Source organism: Homo sapiens, chromosome 3, assembly GCF_000001405.40.
Source record: "Homo sapiens chromosome 3, GRCh38.p14 Primary Assembly".
Classification (NCBI taxonomy): domain Eukaryota; kingdom Metazoa; phylum Chordata; class Mammalia; order Primates; family Hominidae; genus Homo; species Homo sapiens.
In genome coordinates this window covers 114,001,279-114,026,509 of record NC_000003.12, presented here as the reverse complement: position 1 = coordinate 114,026,509, position 25,231 = coordinate 114,001,279, and the positions used below count along the sequence as shown (strand labels likewise).

At 37.5% G+C, this 25,231-nt stretch overlaps 1 protein-coding gene and 1 long non-coding RNA gene across 13 annotated transcripts in view, besides 2 other annotated features; one reads left to right on the top strand and one right to left on the bottom strand.

The window, feature by feature from the left end:
- CCDC191 (coiled-coil domain containing 191) overlaps nucleotides 1-25,231 on the top strand; it is a 92,477-nt gene that overhangs the window by 30,104 nt on the left and 37,142 nt on the right. For 10 of the 12 annotated variants that reach the window (XM_011513052.3, NM_001353767.2, XM_011513054.3 and 7 more), the window contains 6 exon segments: nucleotides 7,642-7,832; nucleotides 15,489-15,738; nucleotides 20,548-21,002; nucleotides 21,764-21,873; nucleotides 23,972-24,054; nucleotides 24,814-24,915. In XM_011513052.3, the coding sequence (XP_011511354.1) occupies nucleotides 7,642-7,832; nucleotides 15,489-15,738; nucleotides 20,548-21,002; nucleotides 21,764-21,873; nucleotides 23,972-24,054; nucleotides 24,814-24,915 (1,191 nt within the window). 12 annotated transcript variants of the gene reach the window in all.
- LOC105374048 (uncharacterized) lies at nucleotides 7,826-24,821 on the bottom strand. Its single transcript, XR_924347.4, has 3 exons — nucleotides 24,602-24,821; nucleotides 13,630-13,738; nucleotides 7,826-10,661 (listed from the first exon to the last, which is right to left on the bottom strand). It is a non-coding gene; the product is annotated as an uncharacterized LOC105374048 (long non-coding RNA).
- Nucleotides 20,726-20,775: an enhancer, noted in NCBI's record as "active region_20267". NCBI's record gives its function as "activates an Ori minimal core promoter by ATAC-STARR-seq in GM12878 lymphoblastoid cells {active_cell/tissue: GM12878}" and the evidence as "EXISTENCE:reporter gene assay evidence [ECO:0000049][PMID:35858748]".
- Nucleotides 21,006-21,135: an enhancer, noted in NCBI's record as "active region_20266". NCBI's record gives its function as "activates an Ori minimal core promoter by ATAC-STARR-seq in GM12878 lymphoblastoid cells {active_cell/tissue: GM12878}" and the evidence as "EXISTENCE:reporter gene assay evidence [ECO:0000049][PMID:35858748]".

Sequence of the window (25,231 nt, the reverse complement as noted above, 5' to 3'; positions counted from 1 at the left end):
TAAAGGAAAAGCCTCTTTAGAAATAAAACGACAGAAAAAGAGAAATGCCAGCACACATAGGAAGATTACTGGGATTCATATAACTCTCCCCTCTAGGTTTATTGCCAAGGGCAATGTGTGGTATATGTCTTGGGAGGGGTTTAAAGCATTATTATATTTTACTTTATGTAGCTAACTCTGTAGGAATTTTCCATCTAAAATGTTACCAGTTTTGGTAAAGAAATTGTTTGTTATGTTCTTTCTTTCCTGACCCTGTAAGTAACCCAGATGTCCCATTCTCACAGAGGTGACAGTGAGGGCCAATTTACCTAAATATTGTGCTAGTGTTTTGCATTTCAAAGTTCCATGAAGTCTTTTTTATTACAGAGGTCCCTATTTTTAAATGTATTTTTTTTGTCTTTCAAAAAAAGTACTGATTACATTTTGATTTTTAAAAATTGAAAAAAGAGACTTTGGCACAAATGAAGCCCATTCCCTAAAATTGTATAGAGTAGAATATTTCCCCCCTAAACACTAGACATTTCAGATGAATATTATAAGGATCTTGAGAGCCATGTGGGTGAGGAATGAAAGACATCACGTCATTGTCTTACTATCACAGTATCCTGGAGGTGAATCAAGCATTTGTCTGATATATTCTGAAGTAAGCTATGTTCTTGGCATAGTTTGTGTTTATGTGTGTGGCCAAGGATGAAGGGTGGGCAGGTAACAGGGATTTTGGTAGAGATGGGGAAGAAGGTCTCTAAGGGACATGAAGAAAGAAGGCAAAGAGAAGGTGATAGGGAGCCGTAGGTCTGCCTTTTCTCCAGACTTGAGGTCACGAGAACTCATGAGTGTTCAGGTGATAGGCTGCACTGTGGTCATTCTTCTGTAAAGAACCCAGAGAATTTTACTGGTTAAGCATTTACTATTTGGTGAGACTAAGGAATTCCTTCTTGAAATTCTATTTCTAGAGTGAAACAATGTAACTATTAGATAATTACAGCAATATTATCAACTGAAACTTTTTAGCAGAATTAAGAACTTATAAAATGGCCTTATGTAAGGGGTACATATTGACACATTTATGGATAACATGATACAATATGCGGTATCTGTGATTTTTAAATACTTCAGAAAAAAAGTTGGTGGGGGGAGAGATGAAATAAGATTGGCAGAATGTTGATAATTTTTGAAGTTGGGTAAAGGTTTATTCTTTGTTTCTGCTTTTAGAACAGTGATAGGGTTTGGGTTTTGTTTTTTTTTTTTTTGGTAAGTTGAAATGAGGAAGGAGAAAAAAATTTAATATAGAAGTAAAATGAGCATCACATATTCCAGGATATAACAGACATAGTTTTTTTGTCTATAGCCGGGGTAGCATTTCACATGGCAGTGGTTGTCAAAGTTTAGGCCTCTAGGCTTTTCCATGGAACCCAGCAGCAAGTTCAGGTCTTAGCACTGTGTTCTGGGAACTGAATGTATTTTCTCTAATGCTATTAGTTATGAGCATATATAGTTGGGGTTGGAGGTTACCATGATTTCCTCTCTTTTCTTTGGGGTAAAATTATGAAAATCAGGAATAGGATTGGTCATGGGGTATTGCTTTTACATTGCAGAATTCAATACTGCACTTCCTACTGGAGATTTATTTTGCCATGACAAAGATCCTCATTTTTTTAAATTATACTTTAAGTTTTAGGGTACATGTGCACAACGTGCAGGTTTGTTACCTGTGTATATATGTGCCATGTTGGTGTGCCGCACCCATTAACTTGTCATTTAACATTAGGTATATCTCCTAATGCTATCCCTCCTCCCTCCCCCTACCCCACAACAGCCCCTGGTGTGTGATGTTCCCCTTCCTGTGTCCCTGTGTTCTCATTGTTCAGTTCCCATCTATGAGTGAGAACATGCGGTGTTTGGTTTTTTGTCCTTGCGATAGTTTGCTGAGAATGATGGTTTCCAGCTTCATCTGTGTCCCTACAAAGGACATGAACTCATCATTTTTTATGGCTGCATAGTATTCCATGGTGTATATGTGCCACATTTTCTTAATCCAGTCTATCATTGTTGGACATTTGGGTTGGTTCCAAGTCTTTGCTATTGTGAATAGTGCCGCAATAAACCTACATGTGCATGTGTCTTTATAGCAGCATGATTTATAATCCTTTGGGTATATACCCAGTAATGGGATGGCTGGGTCAAATGGTATTTCTAGTTCTAGATCCCTGAGGAATCGCCACACTGACTTCCACAACGGTTGAACTAGTTTACAGTCCCACCAACAGTGTAAAAGTATTCCTATTTCTCCACATCCTCTCCAGCACCTGTTGTTTCCTGACTTTTTAATAATCGCCATTCTAACTGGTGTGAGATGGTACTTCATTGTGGTATTGATTTGCATTTCTCTGATGGCCAGTGATGATGAGCATTTTTTCATGTGTCTTTTGGCTGCATAAATGTCTTTTGAGAAGTGTTCAAATCCTTCGCCCACTTGTTGATGGGGTTGTATATTTTTTTCTGGTAAATTTGTTTGAGTTCATTGTAGATTCTGGATATTAGCCCTTTGTCAGATGAGTAGATTGCAAAAATTTTCTCCCATTCTGTAGGTTGCCTGTTCACTCTGATGGTAGTTTCTTTTGCTGTGCAGAAGCTCTTTAGTTTAATTAGATCCCATTTGTCAATTTTGGCTTTTGTTGCCATTGCTTTTGGTGTTTTAGACATGAAGTCCTTGCCCATGCCTATGTCCTGAATGGTATTGCCTAGGTTTTCTGCTAGGGTTTTTATGGTTTTAGGTCTAACATTTAAGTCTTTAATCCATCTTGAATTAATTTTTGTATAAGGTGTAAGGAAGCGATCCATTTTCAGCTTTCTCCATATGGCTAGCCAGTTTTCCCAGCACCATTTATTAAATAGGGAATCCTTTCCCCATTGCTTGTTTTTGTCAGGTTTGTCAAAGATCAGATAGTTGTACATATGTCACATTATTTCTGAGGGCTCTGTTCTGTTCCATTGGTCTATATCTCTGTTTTGGTACCAGTACCATGCTGTTTTGGTTACTGTAGCCTTGTAGTATAGCTTGAAGTCAGGTAGTGAGATGCCTCCAGCTTTGTTCTTTTGGCTTAGGATTGACTTGGCAATGCAGGCTCTTTTTTGGTTCCATATGAACTTTAAAGTAGTTTTTTCCACTTCTGTGAAGAAAGTCATTGGTAGCTTGATGGGGATAGCACTGAATCTATAAATTACCTTGGGCAGTATGGCCATTTTCACGATATTGATTCTTCCTACCCATGAGCATGGAATGTTCTTCCATTTGTTTGTATCCTCTTTTATTTCATTGAGCAGTGGTTTGTAGTTCTCCTTGAAGAGGTCCTTCGCATCCCTTGTAAGTTGGATTCCTAGGTATTTTATTCTCTTTGAAGCAAATGTGAATGGGAGTTCACTCATGATTTGGCTCTCTGTTTGTTATTGGTGTATAACAATGCTTATGGTTTTTGCACATTGATTTTGTATCCTGAGACTTTGCTGAAGTTGCTTATCAGCTTAAGGAGATTTTGGGCTGAGACGATGGGGTTTTCTAGATATACAATCATGTTGTCTGCAAACAGGGACAATTTGACTTCCTCTTTTCCTAATTGAATACCCTTTATTTCCTTCTCCTGCCTGATTGCCCTGGCCAGAACTTCCAACACTATGTTGAAAGGATCCCCATTTTTTATTAATTTTTTTTCTCCTTCCTCATTTCAACTTAAAACTACCTCTCTAATCCCCAGGGACTTCATAGCATCTGTGGGGTCTCCTGCCCAGCCACAGTAGCCCACAAAGGAAAAGAGAAGTTGAGGATTGCTCCCTTTTGTAGCAATAGAGTTTCTCTTCTTTTGGCCTGAGAACAGCAAGGAGTCACTTAGGGGCCTGGGTGTAGAATGTAGCTTTCTTCCTGACATTCCAGCCTTTGCCAACTTCCCTAGACCATTAGTTGCACCAAAGTTAGTTCCATTCAGCAAAAATAAATTGTAAACTTGTTGACATTTTTGTCCTCTTAACAATTCATTGTTTATTTTTCCATGACGGAGAATTTTGATGCAATTATCACTGAGCTTTCTGACAAAAGAGAAATAGCTGAGGAATTTTGATGAGTTACCCACTTCATTAATCAGAACAAGCATCTCTAGTGACAGGGTTAGAATTACAATGAAGATTAGATAGCAAATTGCTGTTCCACCTAACGTCAATCATTCCTAGTGACAGTAGTGTGATTACACTTCAGGGAAGAGCTTTTCTGGCTAACAGAACGAGGGCAACTCCAGTGCAGGTAATAAATTTAGCAGAGCGAGCTGTCATTTCTTCTCTTCAGTGGAATCCTTAACAACCAAATGATGTATTGTGGAAGATTTTGTGGGGAGGACACCATTTCACTTTAAAAGTTTCTAAATTTCACCAGGTAGTATTTTATTTTAGAAATTATTATAGATAGGTACTTAGGAACAGTTCTTCCTTCAGTGACTTTCTGTATTTTATTTACCTATATCAAGCCTTAATTATTACCACAACTATGATAAAGAGATGATGGAAGTTAGGAAAAGAGTGCCTGACTATATTTGAAAATCTAACAGAAATAAAAACATGGTACAAAAATAAATGAACTAGGAAATAAATGGAGGGAAATCAGACTAGTTACCTGGCTAGTTAAAACTTAAGTTCTCCTGGCTTAAACAGAACAACCCAGTTGTGGTTTTAAATCATACATCTTGTTTTAAAAAGCAAAGGGATAGAGCACTATTGTAGTTCCAAAGTATAGAAAAGTAACGAGGAGAAGCAGGCCTGGGAGCATCAGGAAGTAAGCTGGGGGGAGGGAGGAATAGAAAGAATAAATAGTTCAGGTCTGTGGAAGTATGCCACCCTTCTAAATAAAAACAGAACTAGCAACTTTTTCCAGAGAAGACGGAACTGAGTATATTCCTTTCCCAAATATTTTCTTCGAACACATTTATGGGACTCCTGTATACCTGGATAATGTTTGCTATGAATCAAGAATAACTAAGCAGCTATTCTTGATTCACACTTTTTTTTTTAATTTAAATTTTAATGGGATTGGTTTTTTTGAGCAGGCAGGGAAAAAACCAATAGCAAGTCAATTTCAAGAAAGTAGTTGCCATACAGGTTTGTCACTTTGCTCTTGTTAGCTTCTGTGTGGTGAACCTGAATTATAGGCCTTTAAAACTGATCATTTTGGTCTCAAAGTCTCAACATAAGTATTTTTAAAGAAACATATTGACTATAGAATTTATAAACTCAAAATTTCCCCTCCTACATTCAGATATGTTCCTAACCAATGCTTTTCTACCACGGTAAGTTATGTATACAGTTTTCTTTCACTATGAAAGCAGCAAAAAATGTGCCTTTCTTTTTCAGGAGAGATGTTTTTGCCTAATAGATTAGAGTCATCAGGATGCTGGAATGTTTCAGTTTCAGCCTTAGGTGTAACACTAACTCTTTACTTGTGATTTTAGTCATTAAACCTTTCTCTACTTGAAGTTTTAGCTTGGTGAAGTAAATCATAATAATATCTACAATCTTTATTTTATAGTGATGGTTTACAAATTAATAAAAATAGTACACGTAAGATGCTTTGAACTTTACAAAGAAAAGGATTGTCAGAATCAAAGGATACTATTAATAGTGTTATTATTATCAAGATGGATTATGTTTGTTCTATTTCATCATTTGAAATAATCCTGAAGTTAAAATTAGAGATAGCTACACATAGAATATTTTACCAAGTCATTCAAGAGGAATCTCTTAAGGGGATTTGGTAAACAGACACAGAACATTTTCTTTCAACCATGGCACACAAGTTAACACCATTTTTTTCATGCTGTATTTTGTGGAACAGGTAAACAAATGATGCAAAAGGCATACCCCTCAACCTGGCCAGCTGTATCTCTTCTCCCTATTACAACTGAAAGAGTATCCAGTATTCAGCAAATCTCCTTTCCTTCCTCTCTCCCTTCCTCCCTTTCATCCTCTCCAAAAGATCTAAGGTGAAGGTCTAGGACATGTGCCTTATTTGACATATGGAGAGGGCTTTTTAAAGTTTGCCATGGTTTCTCCTAATGAGAAATTATAATGAAGAATATTGTTTAGTTTGTCTAAACAAGAATATAAACTAATACCCTGTTTGGAAAACATTTCTGGCCAAATAGACAATTTCTAAGAATTCTAGTAGATGCTCTCTTATGTTATTGGTCTTTTCATTGATACATCCTCTTTCCCTATAACCTCTTAGAAGTAGAGGTCATATCAAACAATTTTGTGCAGAGTCCCCAAATTGAAACACAGTGATGGTTGCTTAGCAAATGCTGAAATGAAGAAAGTTAAGTATTTTTATAGAGAAAGAAGCAGTAAATATTTGCCTGATAAATCAGGCAAATCCTTGAAACTGGCAAATCCCCCATACTTCCCACAAAGTCACTTTCTATGAGGTTAGTTTTTGTTTTAATGCTCCCCACACTCAGTGCCACTGTCAGATTTACCATTCCCATTTATGAGACCTATTCCCTTCTCTCAGGAGGCTCACAGTCTAGGGGAGAAAAGTAAACTGGTGATTACAATATAGTGTGTTGGGTGTTTTGGCTGAAGAAAGCATAGATTGTTATAGGAACACAGTGGATGGGCAGTTACATTTGGGTAGAGGGATTGGTAACAGGAGGGCTTCCTGAGAGAGGTGACTACTGTAGTTAGGCAGAAAGAAGGCAGAAAAGAGGGACAGAGAAATTAATATTAGGTTGGTGCAAAAGTTACTGCAGTTTTTGGTTATGAAAAGCAATGGCAAAAACCGCAATTACTTTTGCACCAACGTAATATGAACATAGGAAACTATGAAATGGCATGGTTGGTGTCAAGGCCAAAAGCTGAAAGTAATTTGATCTAGAAGGAATGTAAAGTTTGCTGAAAAGAGAGAAGATATAAGCAAGGACTAGGTCTCAGTGATTTTCTTAGACTAGGATCATGAGTTAAGTACTGCTTTGGGGACATCCTTAGGATCAGTAGACCTTGTCTAATTTGCTGTCAAGTGCATGTAGTGGAAGATTATAGGCAGCCTGAACATCTAGTCTTTCTAGACTCACCAAAGCCCTAAAGTGGTCAGTGGTAGTAGCCCAGCTGATTTTGTTGTTTATAGCTGTCTTATTCTCAGGGACCAGAGACTCCATCCTATCTTCATGGAATCTCCCCCGTTCACTTGTGTGGACACTAGTGTGTCAGAAACGGTAGTGAATTAAATGGTTGGTATTTTGAGCTCCAAGACACCTGGCAGGGGGAGTCATGTTGGAAACAAGTTTTCAAGCTTCTCAAACAAGCCCCTTGGTTCATGTCATAGATGTGACTTATTCCAGCTCCCCATGGGACTGGTGGCTTACAATGACAATGAAGTATTTTAGTTTAAGTTGTGAGGCTGAGAATGCCTCATTTGCATGATTGAATATTCCTTGTCATTATTAGCATAAAGGAATTGTGCTTTGTCTCTTCCTTTCCATTAAGACAACAGTTCCTGTATTTGTTTTTAAAAGTGTGAGGGGAAAATCTGAGGAGAGGGCTGTCAGTGTTAGATATTAGAAACACTAGCGCTGATGGGTGGTGATTTTCCTAATATTTCCGCTGCAGTGTCAAAAACGGTATTTCGCTGCCTGGCACAAGCTGATTCTTGATCATAGGATTAAGCTGGGGAAAGCTGGGACCCTGTCTGACTGGAAGATTCAGCTGAAGGTCCTGCGGGCCTGGAGAGACTACACAAGATTCCAGAAGTTGGAGCGGGAGACTCAAGCCTTGGAAAATGATCTTAGGGAAGAAAACAGGTATCATTATTTGTATTGTGAAAATCTAGTATGTTTATCTAGGATATTTCCCTCCTGAAGAATCCACAAATAAACTTTACACATGCCAACTAGAATAATCTTAACCACTTATGAAATATGGTAATCACAGTTTTTCTATGTTACATCTCAAACTAGAAAATTTTACTGAAAATTATAAGTAAACAAAATTATTTAAATGTGCTAGCCGGGAGCAGTGGGGTGTGCCTGTAATTCCAGCTACTCAGAAGGCTAAGGCAGAAGGATCACTCGAGCCTAGGAGTTCAAGACCAGCCTGGGGAACATAGTGAGATCCTGTCTCCAATAAAATAAAATAAAATAAAATAAAATAAAATATACATTGTACATGATCTTCTTTCTTTAATGGAAGCAAGTATTAGGATTTTCCCTTGTGTTCTGGTGTAGTAGCATTGTACCCTGGACCATCTTACAATTCAAAAGAGGGTGTTTGGCTTATATGCCAATAATTCTCATTCATAGAAATCACTGTCTGCACATAAAATGTTAATTAAGGACACAGAGCACATCCATCTGGGAGGGCCAACCTGCCAAAGTGATTCCTCCCACTCTACCATCTTTTGTTCCACACCTTATTTAGAGGTTTTTTGACACCTTTATAACAGCTCCTTCTTATGTTTGTGAATGACACAGAATTCTGCCTTCAAATGAGGCTTTCTTTATTCCATCATCTTAAAATCAAATAATTTTCTTATTATTATTTACAAGTTCAAGTTTGCATTCTTGAATCAAAATCACAGATGTAAAAGGAACCATTTGGTTGTTTGTTTTTCTTTATTTATTCTAAAAAAAAGTGATAAATGATGTGCAGAACGTGCAGGTTTGTTATATAGGTATACGTATGCCATGGTGGTTTGCTGCACCTATTGACCCATCCTCTAAGTTTCCTCCCCTCATCCTCCACCCCTCAACAGGCCCTGGTGTGTGCTGTTCCCCTCTCTGTGTCCATGTGAAGGAACCATTTGTTTACTTAGGGGTTGGGGAGAAATTCATGTTTTTATAAGTAATCACTTCTCTACTGGCAGTTCTGTCATTCATTCAGGATGAAAAATCACATGAATGATAAATGTCAGTATTGTTACATAGAAGGGCATGGTGCCTCTTAAAGTTGTGCAATCCTGTGATAGCATCAGGCCTGGAGACTGGTGCATGGCCCCTTGTCCTCAAAGAACTCACAGTTGAATGGGCAAAACAACATCTAGAGACTGTACAGGTGTTGAGGAGTATTGTAAACTGAATAATACATCTCCATCTGCTGCTGAGAACGTGGCAAGAATGTGTAGCTGTGGCTAAGGAGATTCCTAAAGAGTGCCAGGAAAGGCATTATCAAGAAGATGGGCCTTGATCTGAGCTTTTCATGGTCAATAGGATGTTCCTAGGTAGAGATGGGGAGACTGGGATGATGGCATGAAGCATAGCCATCTGGATTGGCTGGAGATTATCAAGCATGTGGTTGTCAAGTACGTCAACTTCTGAATGGCCTTGAATGCCAGGACATGGAGTTAAGGTAGTCTTTGGTTAAAAAAAAAAAAAAAAAAAGTGAATCCTTGAAGGTTTTTTAAGCAGGAGGGTGACCTAGTCAATCTCCCTTTCCTATGATATGCTGGGAGAAATCTTTGGTGAAAAAAATAGAGGCCAACACAGAAAACTCTCCCATAGTTTGTTTCTAAAATCTCAGGACCTAGTGATTGATACAAGGAATTAGGATGATAGCTTACTCAGAAAGGAATAGCTGGCAGGATTTGTTGGATAAAGAAGGGAAACAGGTTGTAAAGTGGATGCAATGTGAGTGCAGGCATAAAATGAGTGGACACTTGGATGTTGAAGTTAAAAGTGGCCTATGAGATTTACATGCTAGAAGAAACTTGTATAAGGAGAATCTGGAAAATTTAAGATTCCGTTCCAATTAAACTTTAAATATAAAAGCACTAAATAGGGATTTCATAATAGCATAATGTGCCAATTTTTTAAAAAAGATCTTCTCAGAACTTTTTCTTGTATCTGTGAATTATTTTCAGGTGACTATTTTTAAATGTTTAGAATGGATACTAAACATTTTTTAACTGCCAGAGTTAGAAAACATTTAACTTACAATAATTTTTTACTATAAAGCTTTAGAGCAAAAAAAATCCCAGAGCAGGAAGGCACCTCAAGGATCATCTGATCCAGCCCCTCATTTTACAGATGATAAAAGTAAGGCCCAGAGACAGTAAATGACTCAAGGTCACAAAGCAAAGAGCAGCCTCAATGGACACCAAATCCATACTTGTTGAATAATAAGCAAGTCAGGGAACAAATGAAGAACTCAGTTGCTTCCTCTCCTGCAATTTAACTTGATAGGGTTTTGAAGCATTCTTTCTAAATAGACAGCTCAGGGATAGGAGAGAGCATTTATTATCGTGGTTACTCACTATAGAAACTTAGCTCTGACCAGATTGACAAAACACAGGTAATTCTGTGGTTCACTCACCTGGACATTGAAATTACTTATTATGTTCGTTATTTAAATGTCAGTTGTTTTCCTCATCCTCTAGCTCCCCTCGCTGACGTGTGTGTTTGCCACCTCGATTTCCGCTCACTGGCCTGTCCGCCATGAAGGGCCCAGACTTGTGGGCTTTTTTCTTTTGCCCCTTTTCTTTCTGTTCTTCCCACTTTCTCTCTGAAGCAACCACAAATCTCTCTCTTTTTATTCGTAATTTAGCAACCATCTTTCCTTGTTGAGCCTGTGCTGAGTCTCACTTGCAGTCCAAGGAGTCATCCACTTATTTCTTCTAAAAATGCATCTTGCTTTTCCTAATAGGAATTGTGGTTACTCTGTTTTTGTTCATGTTTATTATTTTAAAAGAAGTTATGGCAATAATGTTACAAAATGTCCTTACAATATTGTGATGCAGCTTCAACATGAACAAATATTTCCAAACCCTGAGGATTCATTTAGTAATACAACAAAATTCTAGTATACACACTAAATTAGACCATTTGACATGGTGGTATTGAAATTTGAACTGTATATTCAATTTCCTTAGTGTGTTCATTTTTGAAAGTTGGTTCCAGATCTTCCATTCCTCCTCTCCCCCTTTCTGTCTGCATTTACAGCTAGCCCCAGACAAAATTGGGAAGAAACATGGTTTGTTTTCAACATCTGCACCAAAATCTCATAAATCACTACTTAAAAACTTACTCATGTAAGTGAATACCACCTCTACCCCAATAACTATGGATAAATTAAAATAAAAATTTTAGAAAAATCTTCTGCCAGTCCTTCCTGAGCCCTGCTTCCCAGATTTCTCAATTCTTTCCTGGGCCGCATCTCTGCCCTTCTCTGTATTAACCTCCACAGTCTTTAATCCTGCCTTCTCTTGCACCAGTGCTCTGGGCCTTTCCTGGAACATGCTTTTACCTCTTCCCTTTGTCCCTCAAGCCCTTCGTTCTTTGTTACTGTAATTCTCACTTGATATGTTATCCCTCCCGGGACATTTTTTTTTTATTTTAACAGGCACTGTCTGGAAACAGTGCCCAAAGTGGGAGTGACAGAGATTTGAGGGTACTGTGGCAGGCCAGTGAAAAAAACTGGCCCTTTGGCATTCTTCAGACCATCTCATTCGTTTGGTCATTCATTCGTTCATACTGTTTGATTGGGATAAATTCATTCAGTCAACCAGCTTTACTGATGTTTACTGTATACTAGATCCTCTCCTAAGTCCTGGGGATAGGATGGGGGAACAAAAATATTAAACATTATTGCCTTCTAGGAGTTTTTTATCTAAATGGGGAAGTTAAAATTGTACCCAAATATTTAACACAATTGCAACAGAAGACACCATAAGATAAATACTTAGGAGTGACATGAATGACATCCTTCATTATGATTCCCTGGAGAGCTTTCTAGAAATAGAAATTCATGGGTCCCACCTCCATTATGATCCCCTGGGGAGCTTTCTAGAAATAGAAATTCATGGGACCCACCTTCTGAAAGAGGCAGAATGTGGCTAAGTAGAAAAGGGCATTTTTTAATTTGGATAAGAACTAGTAAACTAGTACATAGGCAGTCTTGCGTAGGAACAGGTCAGGGTGAACCCGCCAGGCTCACCTGGAGGTGGGGAGGAGAAGTGAGGCTGAATTGAAAATAGGCCGTCAGATATTCTCATTTCCAGTACTCTGGATTTCAGTGTTCTTTTGGAAATCATTTACGGAGTGTGCCTGTTAATCATGTTCAATTGTCCTTCCCTCTGCTCACGTGGGTATGCAGGTGAGCAGCCAGAAGCCGCATGGTATCTTCACCTGGTAAACTCCTGATCTCTCTGTCACACAGGCAGAGGACAAGGCTTTCATAGCCTGGCTCGCTTTAAAACTTTAAAACTTTTTAAAACAGTTTTTATCTTCCATTTTGTCCCTGGGGGTACCTGGCACATTATTGAATGCATGAGCTTATTCATTCCTATTCCAGCTAAACCTGCTCATCCCAAATGTAACTGTTCATGTCACTGCTTTTTTATGTTCTGCATCAGATTACAGCACTCAATCAGATCACCAGCTTGTGATTATGTATCATTTTTCATTTGCTTTTAAAACGTTCAAGACACTTTGCAGATATCTAGTAGTCTTGTCCTAAGACAGTGGGTATTACCTTACATGTGAATTTTGTTCTATATTTTCAGGGTTGTTTTAAATTGAATTAGATTCTCAGGAAAAAAACTCTTGTAGGATAGGCAGCATAATAGGGCTTACTGACACTGTTTTTGAGGATGAATCTGGGGCTTAGAAACTCAGTTGCTGTCCCAGTGTCCCATGTCTAGTTAGCATTCTTCTTCTGACTTGTAAGTTCCAAAACATGCACCAGTCACCCAGTATCATTGAGTGTTCATCCTGGGCAGCAAGGTTCATACTTAAATTCCTATTCAAACCTTTTGTATTTTATATTCTTAGATGAGCAGAGCCTGCCTTTCTCTGCATGCAGTTATATATCATTGTGATGATCAATTTATATACTCTGGCTAGAAATTCCCTGATTTCAGATTGCAAGGAAATTGGGATAGGCTATTTTTCATAAGGGAACTCTGCCCTTCCATTTATGATTATCTGGCACCTATGTCTGAAACCATTTCTTTAGGTGAGCATACCAAAGTAAGTTGCATCTGACTAAGGTTTAAGAAATTTAAGTGATTTTTCGCTTTTAGAAATATTTATGTTTTAGTGTTATCTTTTAGAAAGTATAGAAATTGGCTTATATGCAACATTGTCACTCTGCTGAAGTGAGCTACAAGAAAACAGTAGTGGAACTATCCTTGTCTCTGGATCTCTAGCTTCTGTGCTTCTGCCTTTCTGCCTCAAACCACAAATACAGATATCGTAACTACATTTTCTGTTTTTTCTTTTTTACTTTTTTTTTTTTCTTTGACACAGGGTCTCACTCTGTTGCCCAGGCTGGAGTGCAGTGGCACAATCTCGGCTCACTGCAATTTCCACTTCCCAGGCTCAGGTGATCCTCCCACTTCAGCCTCCCAAGTAGCTGGGACTACAGGCACTCACCACCACGCCCAGCTAATTTTTATATTTTTTGTAGAGATGAAGTTTCACTATGTGGCCCAAGTCTCAAACTCCTGGGCTCAAGTGATCCACTCACCTCAGCCTCCCAAATTCCTGTGATTACAGGCATCAGCCACTGCGCCTGGCCAACTACATTTTCATATCCCCGCACAACCATTATAGAGTGGGCTTTAAGCCCTATATTGAACATGCATTTTTTTACTCATTTTCTTACTTTTTTAGTCTTGTTATAGTTACAGAAGTGTTTCTCTCTTTGCCTTTTCATAATGTCCAAATAATCTCCTTGACAGTCAAAACCCCAGTGCTGCTTTTGGCTGTTTGTGCTGTAAAAACAGGAAATTAATACATCAGGTAAATTTCACACTCCTCCTTCCAGAGCAGATTGATGGAAATTGAATTTCACATTAATCAGACACAGCAATGTACATCTTCTATCCTGTAGAAATTTATGATTTTTACTCACTTGAATAAAGTGTTACAGGGTTTTTTTGTTCACTATTTATACACTGATTTTTAGAGCTTTGTTCTTACCTGTGTTGCTATCTGATTTATTGTTATTTCTTCTAAAATTTTTATTTCAAGATTATTCAGTCTCAGATATTTGTTTTCATAAAAGTAAAACATACATAAATGTTTATTACCACCTATATTATACTTTTATTACAAAAACCATCAGTGAGTGAATTTCTAAATATTTATTGAGTACCTATCAATGCATTAGAAGGAAACAATTAAATATAATGAAATATGCTGTTAGCAGGGTTGCTTATTTTTAAAAGAAATATAGAATAGATTAGAAATATCAGAGTATATCTCTTGTGGTAAGGGTAAATATTATTTGGTGAAACTTTTACACACACACACACACACACGTATATTGAGTCACAATGTGACATTTTTTCTTACTGTAGGTTGCAGTCAAAAAAAGGTTTAAAAGTCGTATAAACATTTAAGAACTGTAGAAATGGTCTCCTGACTCACTGAGTTAAGAACTTTATGATTTGCTTGATATGACCCCAAAGAGTCCATGAGGAGACTTAAGCATTATGTATGTTTAACAGAAATGGATATGGAGAACTTATATGAGTCACCTTTCCAAGATACAATCCAGTGTGTGTCTAAACAGTATATTTTGAACCTCAAAGCTGATCCCTGATACTACATAATAAGTTCCACACTCACAGCTAAGTTCTTCAGGATAATAACCATTCACTTATAGATAGATCTCAGACCTCTATGTTTGAATTCTCAACTGACTGCCACCAAATCTCCTAATGCAGATTCCCATTGGGAAGAAAATGTGGCTGGCAGTAACACCACATCCCAACCTCCCCTCAGTCATATTCCCTAACATTTATAAAGTTTCCAGGAATCAAAGTGAGCTCTTCCTTAGGAAGGTGTAGAAAATAAATGAGTTCCATGAGACCAGGGGCCTTGCCTTTGCCCTTTACACATCTAGTGCTTAGCAAGTACCTTCTTGGGGCAGACATGCATTCAGTTCAAGGGTTTGGTAAATGAGTCCTTCTCTTTAGCAGTCCTTTCCCTGACCAGTTCTTCTTTCACAAGATCAACCCTCAGTGTTACTTTGATTTTTGTAAGCCTTTTACTTAAATTATTGACAATTTAACTTGTTAAGTGTTATAATTTTGTTGCTTTCTCTTTCTCCTAAACCTGTCTTTTTAAAATTTTCGTGCATAGCTGAACCTCTGTCTCCCTCATGCATTCATCTTTTTAAAGTCATTACTTGTGTACCTCTTCTTTTTGCTCTTTCCCCTCCAAAAGCTTTCAGAAACTATGGTAATCAAAAACATGTAACATGCCCTTGTGACATGAGAACAGAACAGTTCCTCTTTCTTCTTGAAGGTAATCTGTTGAAGTGCTGACACCTTCTATGAGGAGATCCTTTGCACTGGGGAATTTATAAAGCAATTTCATTTAGCTTAATATAAAATGTTAAGCGAGAGCTAAGATGGAGCATTTCTAGAACCCTTTTGGACTTATGTTTCATTTATATTATCAATTAACAAACTGTAAATGGCTTCTTTATTTTAATGGAAGTGCTTTGTTGCTTAGAAAACAACAACTGGCCACTGAGTATAACCGGAAACAAGTTCTCCGACACTGCTTTACAGAATGGCAGCATTGGCATGGCGCCGAGCTCCTGAAGAGAGAGCTGGCTCTCACAAAAGAGGAAACTAGGAAGAAGATGGATGCACTGCTGCAGGCAGCATCACTGGGGAAACTCAGTGCCAATGGGTTATCAGGCATCAGTCTACCTGAGGAGGCAACAGCCATGGTGGGTCCACCAGTAAAAAATGGACAGGTACGTTGTTTTTCCTGCTTAGTAAACACTTGCATTTGAGGTTTGTGCTTTTATAGCTGGTATGTCAGTCATTGTCAGATTGCTTTGTCTAGGCTATCAGAAGATTAGAGCTGCCTCAATGCACTACCTTTCAGGCAGTGTTTATTTCCTTGAATTGAATCTTCTTTTTATAATCATATATAAACTTTGGCATCATTGGAAGTTAGTAGGGATTTAATATCGAAAGGGCATTTAAAACAACTAAGTAAAATATTCGTTTAGGAAAAGACAGGTAAAGCACTGTCTATAACTCTTGAACTCCCCTTTTTGATCATCAGACATTTCCTTTCTAAATGAGTTTGTGACTTACAAGAGGGGAAATTTAAAATTTTTCTTTTTCTAATAAGAAAAGTCATATGTACTAATTGTAGCAATTTGATAGAAGATCACAGAGAAAAACTCCTATAATTCTGTCATCTATAGATAATCACTAATAACATGTTAAAGTATAGCCATCTAGTCTTTAAGCATATGCAAATTTATCTCTTAATATTTTATTTAGCTTTTAAATTTTCTTTAGTCAGGCCATTGAGGAACTCGTCTGCCAAAATTCAGGAAAAGGAAGGCCATGTTTTTTTTTCCTTCTTAATACTAATACTTACTGTTCTTCTAAAAAAAAAATTACGTTTTCACAATATAACATGAGCATTTTCTGTCATTACATACACTTCTGCAATAGTAGTTCTCAACTGAGAGTATACCTCAGAATCACATCTACTAAAACAGAATTTTTGGGTGTGGGGCAGCTCTTTTTTTTTAAGTTCCGCAAGTGGACGTAATACATATCCCCTGTCTAAGGACTAGTATTCTGTGCCACCATTTTGTAATGGCTACATGATACTCTGTAATGAACCATAAGCTGGAATTTGTTTAGCTCCTGTATTACTGGAATTTAAGTTGTTTCCAGTTTGCCGCCATTGTGAACAATGCTTCAGTGAACATCCTAGTAGCTAAATCTGCACATATCCATAATGCTTTACTTAGGATAATACCTAAAAATGGAATGCATGTTCTATTTTCATCTTATTATTGCTTCAACATTTGTATCTCTTTGATTACTAGTAAGGTTAAACATTTTTATATTGAATATACACTTGTGCACCACATAGCAATGTTTTGGCGAATGACTGACCACATACACAGTGGTGGTCCCATAAGATTATAATGGAGCCAAAAAGTTCCTCTTGCTTAGTGACTTCTTGATGATCTTGACCCTGTGTAGTCCTTGGCTAATATGTGTGTTTGTATCTTAGTTTTTAACAAAAATGTGTTTTAAAATTTTTTTAAAAAACAACCTCTTTAAAAACAGGAAAAAAAAGCTTATGGAATAAGTATATAAAGAAGGAAAATATTTTTGTACAGCTGTGCAATGTTTGTGTTTTAAGCTGTTACTTTATAAAAGAGTCAAAAAGTTAATAATTTAAAAGTTTATAAAATAGAAAGTTACAGTAAGCTAGGATTAATTCATCACTGAAGAAAAAAAATTCTAATAAATTTAGTGTGGCCTAAGTATACAATGTCTATGAAGTCTGCACTAGTATATAATAATGTCCTAGGCCTTCACATTCACTCATCTAGAGCAACTTCCAGTCCTGCAAGTGCCATTCATGGTAAGTGCCCCCATACAGGTGTACCATTTTTTATCTTGTATACTGTTTTTACTGTACCTTTTCTATGTTTAGATATGCAAATACTTCCCATGTGTTACAGTTGCCTACAGTATTCCGTATAGTAACATCCTGCCCTGGTTGGTAGACTAGGGGCAATAGGCTATACCATATAGCCTAGATGCAGTAGACTATACCATCCTGGTTTGTGTAAGTACACTCTACAGTGTTTACACAACAAAATCACCTATTTCTCAGAACAAATCCCCATTATTCAGCAATGCATGACTGTATATATATCTATATATGGATGTAGTAAGATACAGATATATAGTGACTTGTCTCTTCATGCCCTTTGTCCATTTTTCTATTTGATATCTTTTTCTTATTTATAAGAGTTCTTTATATTTTAAGACTATTGATGCTTTTATTATTATATATTGCAAACATTTTTTCCATTTTGTCATTTGTCTTTTTGGTTTAGTTATGGTGTTTGGTATTATACACAGTTGTTTAGTTTTTATAAAGTCAATCCTGTCGGCTTCTTCTTTTATCACTGCTCTTGTCATGTTTAGAAAACCTTGTGGAGAAGAGCTTCTACCCCCTCACCTCCACCCTCCACATAATGCTGTTAAGTACTTAATTCAGACATGTGAAATTAAATTGTGCACTAGAGGGTCCCCAGCCTTGCTTTTTACCCTGATTATTGCTAGCAAGTAGGCTAGTTTTAATTTAAGCTTATTCTCTGAGCAAGGGGGGATCAGGAAGATGCTTGTTGGGACTTATGTGTAACATTTTGGTCCCTTCCCCTAGGCAATGTATCTACCTTTATGGCAGATAATTTTGTCTCCATTGAGACCCAAGACAGACTTCTATCTTAAGAAAGAGCTGTATGGAACCTTTTACCTTACAAAGTGCCACTGTTCTTAAATGAAAAAAAAAAAAAAGTCAGCAGAAAGTATTTTTTACCTGTGCAAAACAGAAAAATTACTATATATATGTAGTAATTTATATATAGTAATATATATAGTAATTTATATATATAGTAATATATATAGTAATTTATATATATAGTAATATATATATAGTAATTTATATATATTTAGACTCAAGGGAACAAAAGACTCCAAATCTCTGAAATCAAGAACAAAAGACTTTATCAAGAAAGGACAGTATTGTTAAAAATGGAGCAAATGATAATAGAGGGCTACAATAGACCCTGTAGAGACTAAGTAAACTAATCTTTTTCCAGCGTGTACAGCAAAACATGACCAAGTGAAAATATAAAATCTTTAGTTAGATGCTCATTAATTATACAGTCATAGGAACTCATGTACTAAGAACACACAAACTGTACCTTGAATTTTTCCAAAATTATCAGTTAGCTAATAGGTGATTTTCTCTAATTAAGTCAGACCATTCACTCCTGCTCTATTAAGTACTATCTGTACCACTAAGCTTTTCCTTCATGTTCTTTATTTTCATGTTAAAAAGTTACCATGATCCAAAAGAAACCCTGTCGCTTTACTCAGGGCTTTGACACAGTCTTGCTAGGTTAATAAGGTGTCATTACCACCAAGTTTAAAAGAACCTAAAACATATACCCTGCTTGATATAAATTGCTTAAGCAGGTGTTCTCATGAATAAGTGTTCACTGACATTACTGAAATAAAAGGTTACTTTTAAAAGTGTTTAACATGTCAGAGTTTCCATATATCACATCTTTCATTTCAGTTGAGTCTATGGAAAGCATTTCTATAATCGTGAAAAATATTTTTGAGTCCCTAAGGATGGGGTCCTGTTAGAACAAGAAGCTTCTGATATTTAGATAGCTCATAGCATTTTTCTCTTTAAGCCATTGCAGATGGCAGAATCAAAAACTTAGACCTTAGAACATGGACTCAAACCATTCTAGAAGAGACACTTTAATATGACATTATTTTGGCCAAGATAGCTGTTTCTAAATAAAAATTCTTGTTTCCTTCCCCTCTGTATAGAACTTGTAATTGAGTATGGTACCTCAGTCTATTAAATGGGATTTATGTAATAAAGCTTTGAAAACTAGTGATATGCTAATACAAAATATTATTAGGTAACATTATTCTTATGTAATGCAGATATTTGCCCAGTGATCCTGAGCTTCCAAATATTTCCCACCCATAGATAGTTTGTAATGCAGATATTTGCCCAGTGATCCTGAGCTTCCAAATATTTCCCACCCATAGATAGTTCAGGAATAGCTGGAAACGGTTAGCTAGGCTTTAACGGGACCTTGATGCTGAAATAACTAAATATCCTATACTATGGCATATGATTAATTTACTAGTGTCAGGAGAGGCATTGAAAGAAAAGAGATATATTATTCATTTGTAAAGATATTCTTTGGTTTTCAGACATTCTCGAGAAAGAATATATCCTTTGCCACAACATCTTCAAATTTCCACTAAAATTCAGAGTCAATTTATGCATATTAAATTCATGTTTTTTATATATAAAATATATATATTTATATATATATATATATATATATATATATATCTGGAGTAACCTTGCCTAATTCACAAATGAACTGTCCAAATTAGAAATTTATAAGAGAAGATTTTTGCTATTACGAATGTCCTGGCCCATGGCAATGGTTCATACAGCTGTAGCCACTCTCCCAGTTTTCTTTTTTTTTGAGCCAGGGTCTCGCTGTGTTGCCCAGGCTGGAGTTCAGTAGCACAATCTCAGCCCACTGCAACCTCCACTTCCCAGGTTCAAGCGATTCTCCTGCATCAGCCTCCTGAGTAGCTGGGATTACAGGTGCGTACCACCATGCCTGGCCAACTTTTGTACCTTTAGTAGAGACAGGGTTTCACCATGTTGGCCAGGCTGATCTCAATCTCCTGACCTTAAGTCATCTGCCCATCTCGGCCTCCCAACGTGCTGGGATTACAGGCATGAGCCACCACAGCCGGCCACTCTCCCAGTTTTCATGGTGAGCAGCAATGCATGTTTTAAGAGTGGTGGCCTCTGAGGTAGCCAGGCCAGGAGCACAGACCACCTTTACCTGCAATACATGGCAGTTGTGCCATTAAACAAAACAATACTGACCTCATAAATGTTGGATTTCATCAGCACAGTCCTTTAAATAGTTGAGCTATAACATGTTTCTCTCTCTCAGGAGACTGCTGTGCCCCCTTTGTGGGAAAAGCCTCCCTTGGGAAGCAGTGGTTGTATGCTCAGTCCTCCCCTGGGAAGAACAACAACAGGCAACTTGCAGGGTTCCCTTCAGAATGTCTCTCTGAGTGCACCTGGCAATAAGCAGCACAAGACCCTGGGTGCTGAACCCTCTCAACAGCCTGGCAGCAACGAGACACTCAGAACTACCAGCCAGAAAGCAGAACCGCTTTGCTTGGGTCATTTCCACAACCGCCATGTCTTCCAGCAACAGCTGATTGAGAAGCAAAAGAAGAAACTTCAGGAACAGCAGAAAACAATTCTCGAGCTGAAGAAAAACCTGCAGCTGGCAGAGGCTCAGTGGGCAGCAGAGCATGCCTTAGCAGTCACAGAAGCACAGAGCCACCTGCTGTCAAAGCCCAGAGAAGAGGAACCAAGAACCTGCCAGATGCTTGTGAAGTATGTCTGTTCTATCAGAACTCGCTGGACTCATTTTAAGGGGTTTTTCACTTTGGGCTCCTGAGCTTCTTTGCCCTGCTTCTGAGCCCCATGATTGTTCCTTTTCCTTGATTTTGCACTCTCAAAGCAAAGAAGCCTAGTTATGACTAGTATATGACAGGCACAGATAGTCAAGGATGCCTGTAAGGATCCAGTTATACTGTTAGCATTTGGGTCACGGCTGCCTTTGAGGATCTCTGTTACTATGCCAGTTAAAGAGAAAAATGCTGTCTTGCTCTATTTCTGGGTTTCTAGCTATGTTAAGTGCTGAGAAGCCAAGTCAGACAACATCAGGTCCACATGGAGCAGCCCCTGGGCTGGCTTATTTCCTAGCTTAAATTTGTAGTTGTTAGGGATAAAACAAAACATCTTTGAGCCTCAAATAAGAGCCCAAGTTTCTCAAAAGCCACGTAAGATGGTTTCAGTTGTGCTTGAGACATACTCATTGCATGTGGTAAATGGTAGGATAAGATGTGGTGACACCTATGGATTTGAAGCATTAGGATGGGAGTCACAGTACCTGACTCACTGTGTAGACTCATGCCGATCACACAACCTTTCCATACCTCATTACACATATTTATGGAGTGGATATAATATGTAGTTATCTCAGAGAGTAGGGATTCATTAAGGTCTGTAAAAGGCTTTGAGCATCTCAGGTCAAAGGAGTTTGAAGGAAACTGGTTAGTAGTCTAAATTCCTTTCCTTTATTTTTTCCCTAGTTCACCTGTTGCTTCCCCTGGGACTGAAGGCAGAAGTGACTCCCGAAATTCTCTTTCTGGACTCAGAAGGAAACCAAAGCAATTGATGACACCGCATCCCATACTAAAAGGCAGGGCTGTCTCGGTGGTGGCCTTGGTGGTTGTTATCTTCTCTCCTAGAGTAGAATGTGTACACTGGGACTGAATTCTGGCAACTCTTGAGGTTTTGAGACTTGGCAGAACCTGACATCAAAAATCTCAGAATGGTAGACATGTGAGGAGTGGAGTACACCAGAGAGCCCCACTACTTTTTTCCTGCCCCTTTTGCCAACCTTTTTGGCATTCCCAGCCAACACACACACAAAAAAACATAGCTGAAAGGTATATCATTTTTCTGTAATTTGAGATTTGGATTGTGAAAAAAAAAGGAATAATTACACAAATGAGAAAACTCTGAGTAACTGCCAAGGACAAACACTGATAAAGGACACCTGTCATTGTACTTTGTTAATGTTCAAATTTGATCAGTTTACAGTAATCCAAGATAAGTTATTATTTTATAATATTATAACTTGTTGATAGGATTTTAGTAATAAAACCTACAAACCAGATATGTTAATTTGATAACATTTTTGATGCATCTAGAAACATTTATTTATTTGGTACAGGCAGGGTCTTCCTGTGTTGCCCAGGCTGGTCTCAAACTCCTGGCCTCAAGGAGTCCTCCCACCTCAACATCCCTAGGTGTTGGGATTATAGGCATGAACCACTGCACCTGGCCAGAAACCCTTATTTAAACTAAACTATACGAATAGAAGCATTCTTCAGAACCCACCTAGTGAATCTGCTAATTGTTTTTACTATATGCTTAGTCCTTCACTGTACTTATGTTTGCATGTGGTGGTTGGCACTTTGACAATTATATTGTGGTTTGTAAATTTGATTTTTTACCTGTGACAAGATTGCTGGTTTAACAAGAAGTAATTACAAATGAAAGACACTGTGCCTGCAGTCAATTCCTATTAATGAAGAAATTGGCAGTCTTTGCATTAACTATCTGCCAGGACAGCAATTTATGCTGTCTTTGCCTATCATTAAGCTTGGTCAGTAAATACCCAGTTAAGTATGATTATTTTTTTAAAATTATTGTTTGGTCAAGGAGTTAGCTATTTTAGAAGCCCAGTCTACTTTCAAGTAGTCTTTTGATGATTAGATCTAGAAAAGATGGGCAAAGGGCATATTACCAGAGACTCTGCTTCTTAGGGGTCTCTTACTTTAATCCCCTAGTCTATTTCTGCCTTCTTAGAGACAATTTCACTCTCGCCATCTGTGGCACTACCATTCTTTTTCAGCAAAGCAGACACTTAATAACTGTAAGAAATAGCCTGGTGAGTTTTTTGTTTATTAATTCTTAAAACTTGGACTTAAATTCTTTTCTCTAAAATATGGCACAAGGAACTGAAAGTAACTATTGGCTGGCTTAGGTGAGCAGAACTTGATACTCCTCCCATCCATGCCCCTCTTCCTATGAAAGCCCCAACTGATTATAGAGTCATATTATCAGACCATCTTGCACATTTGTTTCTTTTGGATCGATATTTAATAGCCTGTCAAGAACAGGAGTCTGACACTCAAATTCATTCAGATGCCAGTTCTCCAAATGCCTGGTACAATTCCATTTCCTGCCCATCTGTATATCCAGGCCTTAAAACTAGATTCAAATATATTCATCGTGACCCCAAACTTTAGTTTGTTTGTTGTTATTCTTATATATACAGACATATGTACAGTGACTTAAGAAAAATTAGCAGATTCAATAGGATTTGAGGAACGATTCTACTCTCAAAGTACTTGTTAGATGTAATTAAAGTTTTCTGCATTCATCAAACATATAATCAAATTAGAATTCTGGTTTCTGGGTTTCATATACTAAAAGTATCATCAAGGCACATTATAAATCAGTAAACAATTATTTTAATAAAAATGTAAACAAAATAATTAATTTATAAATTGTTCCTCATTGCTGAGGATGGGATAATAGGTCTTTAACCTGTAGAGTATATAAGTTCTGTTTATCTCTATATATTTTCTGAGATTGTGAACATTCAACTTACAAGAAAACCCTAATAATAACACTAAATTTTACTATGAAATGGAGACATTTCTCTTGCAGTATTCCTCATATTTTTTCAATATAAAAAATATTAGAACTCTGTTACTATTTTCTAGCTATGGAAGAGAGAGCAATTCAACGAGCTGAATGTAGGCGGATCTTGGCAGAGAAGAAGAAAAAACAAGAAGAAGAAAAATTGGTAATAGATTCAAAATGCAAACTGAGTCAAAAAAGAAGGATTTGTCCAGGTCTTTCTTAAAAAATGAAACCTTGCTTTTTCAGAACTCCTGAGACAATAGAGTTACATCAACTTTGGAAATGGTTTTTTGGCCTAGTGGCCTGAATTCCGTGACAATTTTAGGAAAATAAGGGGGACAGAAACATCAACATCATTAACACAGCAGGAAGAAAATGTTATGAAAGTTGATGAGAGTCAGCAGATTAGAAGATTTACACATAACCAAGATTAGTGTATTATAGGTAGATGTCTGACCTACTGAATTTGCAAAGAGGGATAGTTCTTATTTTCCAAAGTTTTGACCTAGACTATCCAAAGTAAATTTTGTAACTACCAAGAAAAAATAAACAGTTCCAACAATTGGGGGTTTTCTGGTGAAATGAAAGAAAACCTTTTTCCCCCTAAACTGTTTCTAACTTGGAGTTAGTTTTTCACAGATGACAGTAAGAACTAAAAAGTAATCATTTTTTAATGAAAGATTGGTGATCTTATTTATGATCAGTCTTACCTTCCCAAGTAGAAAAGGATTCTTTTGGAGAAACTTTTAAGTTACGTAACTGATGACAGGTTGATTGAGTTTTCTACTTTTATCACAAAATGCAGACTTCTTCCAGAGATAGGACAGGCACTTTGGTAGACGCTTGACTATCCTAAACATAAAAGATCACATTTCTGTTCAAATTGAGGGTTCTGATATTTCTGGGTTCTAATCTCAATCAGGCCCAGTTAAAGGCCCAAGAGGAGGAACGTCAGAAAAGGGAGGCAGAAGAAAAGGAGGCACAGCTTGAAAGAAAACGAGAAGAGAAGAGACTGAAGAAAATGGTTAGTATTGTCTATTTGGTCAGTCCCTGTATCTTGAGGTTTGCTGTGTGTGATACTGTGGCCCTATCCACCTTCTTTAACCCAGAACTTCTATCTGGAATACTCTTCTCTCACCCTCACTTCTTTTCTCTATCTTACTTAGTGAAAAGCTACTCATTCTTCAGATTTCAGCTAAAACAGAACTTTGTCCAGATTAGCCTTTCCTGCCCTGCCCACCCTCCTCTCCACTCAGAATTAGGTTGGGTCCCCCTTTGTGGACTCTCATCAAGTATCTTCCCTTCAGAACATTATTGACAGTTATCATTGTGCATTTGTT